General features: G+C 48.9%; 1 pseudogene, besides 1 other annotated feature; it reads left to right on the top strand.

Annotated features, from left to right (window-relative positions):
* Positions 324 to 422, top strand: RNU6-600P (RNA, U6 small nuclear 600, pseudogene; annotated as a pseudogene).
* Positions 5187 to 5296: an enhancer, noted in NCBI's record as "active region_6294". NCBI's record gives its function as "activates an Ori minimal core promoter by ATAC-STARR-seq in GM12878 lymphoblastoid cells {active_cell/tissue: GM12878}" and the evidence as "EXISTENCE:reporter gene assay evidence [ECO:0000049][PMID:35858748]".

Genomic DNA, 9476 nt, shown 5'->3' with positions numbered 1-9476 from the left:
GAGTTCAAGACCAGCCTGGCCAGCATGGTGAAACCCTGTCTCTACTAAAAATGTGAAAATTAGCTGGGGGTGGTGGCACACACCGGTAATCCCAGTTACTTGGCAGGCTGAGGCAGGAGAATCGCTTAAACCTGGGAGGCAGAGGTGGTTGCAGTGAGCTGAGATTGTACCACAGCACTCCAGCCTGGGTGACAGAGCGAGACTGTCTCAAAAAAAAAAGGAGACAGAGAGAGAAAGAGAAGGAGAAAGAGAAAGAGAGAGGAAGGAAGGAAGGAAGGAAGAAAGGAAGGAAGGAAGGAAAGGAGAAAGAAAATTGTAAAGTAGTGCTCACTTGGGCAGCACATATTCTAAAATTGGAACGATACAGAGATTAGCATGGTCCCTGCGCAAGGATGACATGATTTTAAAAATTCTAAAGTATGCCGGGTGCGGTGGCTCACACCTATAATCCCAGCACTTTGGGAGGCTGAGGTGAGTGGATTACCTGAGGTCAGGAGTTTGAGACCAGCCTGGCCAACATGGTGAAACCCTGTCTGTACTAAAAATAAAAAATTAGTCGAGTGTGGTGGCATGTGCCTGTAGTCCCAGCTACTCGGGAGGCTGAGGCAGGAGAATCACTTGAACTCAGGAGGCAGAGGTTGCAGTAAGCTGAGAAAAAAAATTCTAAATTATTTTTAAGGTATTATTATTGAAGAGCTGGCGATTGATTCAGCAGAGGAAAAATACAGAAATAACAGAAATCATTACTAAAGATACATAAGCATGTACAACCGTAACTACATTTTTGAGCACTCACTATGTGCTAAGCACTGTATTAAGTGCTGTATATGAATCCCCCCTCCTTGGTTTTTACAATAACCCTGTGGAGTGCTGCTATTATTTTTATTTTACAGATAAGCAAAGTGATGCTTAGAGGGGCTAAGTCACTCACTCAAGGTTACATGGCTACTAACTGACAGTCCGTAAGGAGGTTCGGCCAGTTCAGACTGACTATGAGAGGACAGCATTTATGGTCTGTCAGGGAAGCTGACCGTCTCCACAGGGTACCAGTTATTCAATAACCCTTATAAAGCAATCCCGCCCCTTCGCCCAGATTTCTTTCTCTCTCCATATTTTCTCTGAACCTTTCCCCTTTTGCCCTTCCTTTATCTCTCTACCCGCCCCGCCCAAACACACACACACACACCTCCAGATTCTTCTCATAGCTTCACAGATCAGCTCTGGGATGGATGCAGAGGCTCCTGTTTCCATGGTGACGCGGGGAGGCTGGTACACCGCACGCCAAGTGTAGGCGAAGCAGAGAATTGGCCGAGGATCCAAAGGTGCCGGCAGTAACCAGGCTCTGGGAAAAGGGATCGATGAGAAAGCCAAGTCTGGATGACTGGACCTCCCTTGAGCTCCAGAAGGACCTCCACCCCCACCACGCCCCCTGCCCTCCCTAAGCTCCTAATTTGGAAGTCGAAGACGGGAGAGCCGGGAAAAGAAGCGAGGGGGCTCCAAAGCAGAAGCCACCACCTCTAACTTGTTTTGAAGACAAAGCCTAATCGTCGGTGGGAAGACTGCCCGGTGGGCGATGGCCCCCTCCCGAGGCGCCTCCGCCTCGCTCCCTCCCTCTCCTCTCCCGGCTCTGACCTCAGTCGCAGCCACCGGGCTCTCGGCCGGGCGCTGAAGGGGAGCCGGGCAGCCAGCAGGGGGCAGAATCCCCCGCATTAAAGGCGTGTGTGGGCCTGCTTCCTCTGCTTCCACCTCGCCCCTGCTTTCACTGGGATTATTTTCAGCTGACAGGCTGCAAAGGCGCAGTAGGTGGATTTCAGGGCAGGAGATGGGTTCTGACAGGGGCTGTGAGCCTGTGAAGCGTTGGTCTTAAGCTGTGGGCCCCACTGAGGAGCCGCGTATTTAGGACCACAGAGTCAGGGGCTGAAGCAACGGGCACTTTAACTTTTTCTGGCAAAGGTTTCTTCTGAGGTTTTTCTCAATCCATTGAAAACATTTAAAACACTGTAATTGTGAAGAGGAGGCTCATTCATTCATTCAATAATGTTTATTGAGTATCACCTATTATTGTCACGATGGATGCATCCAATCAAAAACGAGTATTTACAGAAAGCTTACACACACTGATTCTTAACCTTTTTTAGGGGGCAGGGGTGTCACATATCCTTTGAGAGTATGATATAAAAAAATACAGATTATCTCCCAAAAAGAATGCACTATAAGCCTACAAACATTTTCATGTGATTTTGGGAGCATCAGGAACCCCTGGCAGCTCATCCACGGGCCCCAGGGCATAAACCCTGGTCTATTTTGAGCTGGGCTCTGGGCTAGGCACTAAGGATGCAACAGCAAATTAGATAAGCATGGTCCCTGCCCTGCCTGAGTTCTGCAGGCAAGTGGGAGGCACAAAGAGATGCTTAAAATACAGTGCCAATGCCTGTGCTGGAAGACCCCAAAGGAGGGCCACTTATCTAGACACAGGGGCTTCATGGAAGGCTTCCTGGAGTGACAGGTAAGCTGAGAGACCTGAAGAAGAAGTAGGAGCTGGCCAGGCGAGGACCTGAGGAGGAGCACTTTGGGCAGGAGGGAAGCACCTGGAAAGGCCCTGAGATTCCCTCTCAGCAGACCTGAGAAGCTGACAGCAGGCCCTCGTGGCTGGCTCAGAGATGCCAGGAGCAGGACTGGTGAGAAATGAGGCTAGAGTGGTAAGTGCCATATGTAGGCCCTGGGATGCAACAGAGAATAGGCAGACAGCTGCTCCCCTCAAGGACACCAACAAGAAAGCCGGTGGTTATGATGCAGAAGTGTTAAGTTCCACATTGGGAATGAGCATTTGGTGGTATGGGAGTAGGTGGATGAGCACTGAATTCAGCCATGGGGATCAGGACCAAGGCCCAGAAAGCGGGGCTCCAGGTGCAGGTGGATCAGTGATATATTTAGTGTATTCAGAATACTCTCAGAACCTGAAAACAGCTGGAAGGAAGAGGTGAGGGGAGAGGAGGAGGGAGAGAGAAGGAAGGGGAGTCACCAATATACCTTGATCTGACTGCAACCTACCATTAGGAACATCTTTTATTCTGGGGGTGAGGAGGGCTGGGTGGGGATGAGCTCAGGTCTACCTATTCCCTTTTTTATGTTGCCCAGGCTAAACTCAAACTCCTGGGCTCAAACGATCCTCTCCACTCAGCCTCTTGAGTAGCTGGGACTATGGGTGCATGACACCACACCTGGCTGTTTTTTTAAGTACCGGAGTTGTGACCGGAGGAAGCCTTGGACAAAAAAGTGGTGAGTAGAGATAACAGCAAGCTGGGCCTCTTGCTCCCTGCTGTGGACCTAGGGATGGGACTGGGAGAGCATGGGATGAGCTAGGAAAACAGGAGATGTTGTAGTGATTTATTGCTGGTGATTTTGTTTCAGAAACACTCTGAGTCGGGCCCAGTGGCTCATGCCTGTAATCCCAGCACTTTGGGAGGCCGAGGCAGGACGATCACTTGAGCCCAGGAGTTTGAGACCAGCCTGGGCAAATAGTGAGACCCTGCCTCCAAAAAAAAGAAAAAAAAAAAAACACTCATATACAGTAGCCCCTTCTTATCCGTGGTCTTGTTTTCCATGGTTTCAGTTACATGGATAAAAAGGGGCTACTGTATATGTCTATGTATGTAGTCTCGCCTTCTGTGGTCAATCATGGTTTGAAAACATTAAATAAGGCTGGGCGCCATGGCGCATGCCTGTAATCGCAGCACTTTGGGAGGCTGAGGTGGGCGGATCACCTGAGGTTGGGAGTTTGAGACCAGCCTGACCAACATAGAGAAACCCCGTCTCTACTAAAAATACAAAATTAGCCGGGCATGGTGGCGCATGCCTGTAATCCCAGCTACTCGGGAGGCTGAGGCAGGAGAATTGCTTGAACCTGGGAGGCGGAGGTTTCGGTGAGCGAGATCACACCATTGCACTCCAGCCAGCATGGGCAACAAGAGTGAAACTCTGTCTCAAAAAAGAAAAAAGAAAAAAAGAAAACATTAAATGGAAAATTCCAGAAATAAACAATTCATAAGTTTTAAATTGCCACCATTCTGAGTAGCGTGATGAAATCTCACACCATCCCACTCTATGCTGCCTGGAATGTGAATCATCTCTTTGTCCAGTGTAGCCACACTTTAGATGCTACCCACCCATTATCACTTAGTAGCCATCTCAGTTATCAGATCCACTGCCTTGGTATCACAGTGCTTGTGTTCAAGTAACCTTTATTTTGGCCAGGCATGGTGGCACACACCTGTAATCCCAGCTACTCGGGGGACTGAGGCACAAGAATCACTTGAACCCGGGAGGTGGAGGTTGCCGTGAGCTGAGATCGCGCCAGTGCACTCCAGCCTCGGCGAAAGAGCAAGACTGTCTCAAAAACAAAACAAAACAAAAACCCTTATTTTACTTTATAATGGCTCCAAAGCACAAGAGTAGTGATACTGGCATATCATTATAATTGTTCTAGTTTATTATTAGTTATTGCTGGTAATCTCTTACTGTGCCTAATTTAAAAACTAAACTCTAAGCCAGACATGGTGGCTCATGCCTGTAATCCCAGCAGTTTGGGAGGCCGAGGTGGGCGGATCATGAGGTCAGATCGAGACCATCCTGGCCAACATGTTGAAACCCCATCTCCACTAAAAATACAAAAAATTAGCCAGGCGTGGTGGCACACGCCTGTAGTCCCAGCTACTCGGGAGGCTGAGGCAGGAGAATCACTTGAACCCGGGAGGTAGAGGCTGCAGTGAGCCGAGATCACGCCACTGCACTCCAGCCTGGGCAACAGAGTGAGACTCCATCTCAAAAAAAAAAAAAAGATTAAACTTTATCATAGGTATGTATGTATAGAAAAAAAATACATGGTCCATATATAATTCGGTACTATCTGCAGTTTCAGGCATCCACTGGGGTCTTTGAATGTATCCCCTGAAGATAAGGGGGGACTGTTCTAGTACTTATATGCCAGGCTCTGTCCTAAACACTTAGCAAATATTACCTTATAACACTCCTAGGAGATAAGCATGGTCATCCTCATTCTACATATGAGGCATGAAGCAGTTCAGTAACTTGGCAAGGTCGAACAGCAAGTAAGTGACAAAGCCACTGTCTGAACCCAGGCAGTCTGGCTCCAGAGTTTGTGCTTTCACCACCAAACTATGCTACTTCTTGAGAGGGAGGGCCTTTGCAAAGGCAATGAATTGAACCTGAATGTCCCACACAAGACATGAGAATTCTACCACTCCACCTCCTGGGGACACTCATAAAGTACAAGGAGCACCTACTACTATGAAGAGGTCCTGGGGAAGTGGGAGGAGCCACAGGGAAATGGTGAGGCCTTGCAACTGCAGGGAGCTGGTGGAGACCAAGGCCTAGAGGTCTAGGACTGGAGAGGGACAGCTAGTTAAGAGATAAGGTCAGGCTGGGGGCGGTGACTCATGCCTGTAATCCCAGCACTTTGGGAGGCCGAGGCAGGTGGATTACCTGAGGTCAGGAGTTGGAGACCAGCCTGGCCAACATGGTGAAACCCCATCTCTACTAAATACAAAAAATTAGCTGGGCATGGTGGTGCATGCCTATAATCCCAGCTACTCAGGAAGGAGGCTGAGGCAGAAGAATCTCTTGAACCCGGGAGGCGGAGGTTGCAGTGAGCCAAGATTGCGCCATTGCACTCCAGCCTGGGCAACAAGAGTGAAACTCCATCTCAAAAAAAAAAAAAAAAAAAAAAAAGAGATAAGGTCAAGTTGGGCATGGTGACGCATGCCTGTAGTTCCAGCTACTCAGGGGCTGAGGCAGGAGGATCACTTGAAGCCAGGAGTTTAAGGCTGCAATGTGCTATGATTGCACTCATGAATAGCCACTGCATTCCAGCCTGGGCAACACAGTGAGACCCTCCCCCTACATTTCTAAATATTAAAAAGAGAGAGAAAAAAGCTCAGGGTATTAGGCAGCATGGAAGCTCCTACCGTCACCTATGAGATCTAGCCCTGCCTCTCTTGTCAATGTCATCTCTCGCTGCTCTCCCCTCACTCACAATTTTCCAGTCACACTGTTCTTTTCTGCCCTAGGGCCTTCTTCCTTGACGTTGCTTCTACCCTGAACCCTTCCCTATATGCATACACATATACCTGCCCTTTTCCAGGCTGACCCCACTCATCCTCCAGATCTCGGCCTCACGGTCAGTTCCTCAAACAATCCCTCTGGATTAGATCCCTTCTCTTAGTCTCACATAGTAGTACCCTATTATTTTCCATTGTAATCTGTATCACAATTTGAAATTATATATTCAGTTGTGGGCTAGGTGTGGTGGCTCATGCCTATAATCCCAGCACTTTGGGAGGCCAAGACAGGAGGATTGCTTGAGGCCAGAAGTTTGAAACTAGACTGGGGAACATAGCCAAGACCCCTGTCACTAAAAAATAAGTACATAAAAATAAAAATATATCAGTTGTGTTTATTCAATGCTTGACTCTCCCATTAGACTATAAGCTCTATGAGGGCAAGAACCCCTGCTATAAACTTTGTTTCTGGCATAGTGCTGGGCACATGTAGATACTATATAACATTTTGCTAAATGGGTTTATAAATTTAGAGAAATCTTAGAAGTCTATTTGTCCAATGCTTCTTTCCTTTCACCATATGTTCAATAGGCTATTTACCTTCTCCTTGAATATTCCCAGCAGCAGAGAACTCACTACTTCACCAAGAGGCCCATTTGCTTTTGGAGAGATTTAATAGTTAGAAAGTTCTTCTTATTGAAGAAAACTCTGACCACCTGTCACCCCTCATTCCTAGACTGGCCCTCTGGACCTGTGTCCTTGAAACAGGCACAGACAGCTGTCCTGCTGGCCTCTCCCTCTGCCCTCAGCTTTCACTGTGCCATCTCAACAGTTCTTCCAGCTTAGGAAGGCTTGGATTCTCAACCCTTTCCTTCCCTTCTCAAGGTACTCCCTTCTCTGCCCTTCTCAAGAAACTCCCTTCTCAACCTTTCTTCTCTTTCTTTTTTATTTTCTTTTTCTTTTTCTTTTTCTTTTTGAGATGGAATCTCGCTCTGTCACCCAGGCTGGAGTGCAGTGGCATGATCTCGGCTCACTGCAACCTCCGCCTGTCGGGTTCAAGCAATTCTCCTATCTCAGCCTCTCGAGTAGCTGCGACTACAGGTGCCCGCCACCAAGCCTGGATAATTTTTGTATTTTTAGTAGAGACGGGGTTTAACCATGTTGGTCAGGCTGGTCTCAAACTCCTGACCTCAGGTGATCCGCCTGCCTTGGCCTCCCAAAGTACTGGGATTACAGGCGTGAACCACCACGCCCGGCCTCTACCCTTCTTCTCTACCCTTCTCAAGAAACTCCCTTTGGTCAGCACCAGATTTGCCATCCATTCTCATTCCCCCAGGCACTCCAGTAAATGCAATACAGATGTGGCAGGATGAGGGCGGAGAAAGTGAGAAAAGAATGCTGTTTCTTTCTCACTTTGTAACCAGATATATTTCCCAGAAAACACTATTATTACTGATGGTTGGGTCCCCAGGCTAATCCTGAACTAGATGTAGCATTGTCAGCTAATTCTGGGTCAAGTGGCCTTTCTGGACCCATTTAACTTTTTTTAGATGGAGTCTTGCTCTCTCGCCCAGGCTGTAATGCAATGGTGCCATCTCTGCTCACTGCAACCTCCGCCTCCTAAGTTAAAGCGATTCTCTTGCCTCAGTCTCCCGAGTAACTGATATTACAGGTGCGTGCCACCACTCCAGACTACTTTTTTGTGTTTTTAGTACAGACGGGGTTTCACCATGTTGGCCAGGCTGGTCTCGAACTCCTGACCTCGTGATCCGTCCACCTTGACCTCCCAAAGTGCTGGGATTACAGGCGTGAGCCACCGCGCCCGGCCCATTTAACATTTTGTCTCTGGGAAAAATGTGTTTGGGTTCCAAACAACCAAGTTATATATAAACCCTTTAAATAACCAGCTTGCAAATTGGGAACTGCTTCTAGAGAAGTATTTAGGTAACACCGAGTGGGAGAGGGAAGGGAGAGAACAGAGTGGGCTCGCTCAGAAAAGTTTCCAAGAAGTTTTTGAAGCAAATGTAGGAAAAATGGGAAGATTCAGACAAACCTGGGTTTAATCCCAGCTCTTCCACTTACCGGCTGTGAGTGCGTGCCTGATTTACCTAAGTTCCCCTCAGATTCCTCTCTCTAGTAAAAGAGGACAGTCATTTTTTACCTCACAGAGTTGTAGGGGGCATTAAGCTAGAGACTGTATTGCATTCAGCACAGTACCTGGCACGTAAGTGAATGATCTGTGTTGTGATGTTTTCCAAACGAGGGTCTCTCCTCTCAAAGTGAAGTAACAGGATCCATGACCTGACGTCCCTGAACCTGCGTGCAGCTCTCCCACCTGTGGGAGCCCACGCTCATGAAAGTGAGGACTGCCCTCTGCCTTCCATAAACATTCCAAAGGAGGGAGACTAATGGGCTCCGGAGGAGAGGCCGGGGACAAAGGAGCAGGGGATCCAAGTGTCCTCAAAGATCAGTGTTTCTGTAGGAACACCTGTGTGTCCTGTGTGATCACTGTGACTGTGTGTGTCAGTGTGGCAAGGTATGCAGGCCTGCCGCGTGTCCTGCTTGTTAGTGGGACCATGGAGATTCCCCTCGTCTCTGGGGCTCCATTACTCAGCTCTCTGCGGTCCCAGGCCTTATCACTTAGCTGTCTGCCCTCTGGCCTCTTCCCTTTGTTTACCAACTTGGCTGGCTTTCTCCTCTGGGAACAAAGGAGGTGTTTGGTTCTGGGCAGTGCCTGGCTCCAGCTACCCGCCCCCATCGCCTCCCCTTTCCAGGAGGGTTGCCCCTGTCTCAGACCCCTTGGCTCTGACAGGCCCATTCCCACAGCTCCAGGGAGAGAGGAGGCTGATCTTCTCATTTGGCACCCCCTTTTTTCTCACCCTCTGGCCCCATTCCTGTCCCCAGCAAGGCCCCTGAAGCTTCACTCGTCTAGGCTGGAGACAGCTCCTCTCCCTATTGTCTGGCCAGGATTTGGAAGCTCTGGTTACCATAGCAACCCCTGGGCATTTAATTAAGGGAGGAGGCCTTCATTTTCCAGGCTGGGCAGTTCCAAATCTCAACCCGAAAAAGGATACCCTGAGGGGGTGAGGAAGAAGTGTTGTCCTCCAGTATAGCATAATTCCGGCTTCCCCACAAAGTCTGTTATGGCTTTCCCAGCCTACCCCCTCCCAGCTGCCACCCCGATCACCACCTCATGCCAGAGCAGGCTGGGGAGGCCTCTCAGATCAGCTAGGGCAAAACCCAGGTCCCAGGCCAGTAGAGGTTTCAAGGAAGGGATGGTGTGCAATTGCTGTAAGCCACCCCTCCCCTATATGCACTGTCGCTTTGTTTACTGGACTGTGGGGTCAGGGATAAGGGTGGGAGATCATTCAACACTGGCATACTGTCCAATTTCTTTGC

This window comes from Homo sapiens, chromosome 12 (assembly GCF_000001405.40).
Source record: "Homo sapiens chromosome 12, GRCh38.p14 Primary Assembly".
NCBI lineage: Eukaryota > Metazoa > Chordata > Mammalia > Primates > Hominidae > Homo > Homo sapiens.
This window is presented reverse-complemented; position numbering and strand designations above follow the sequence as displayed.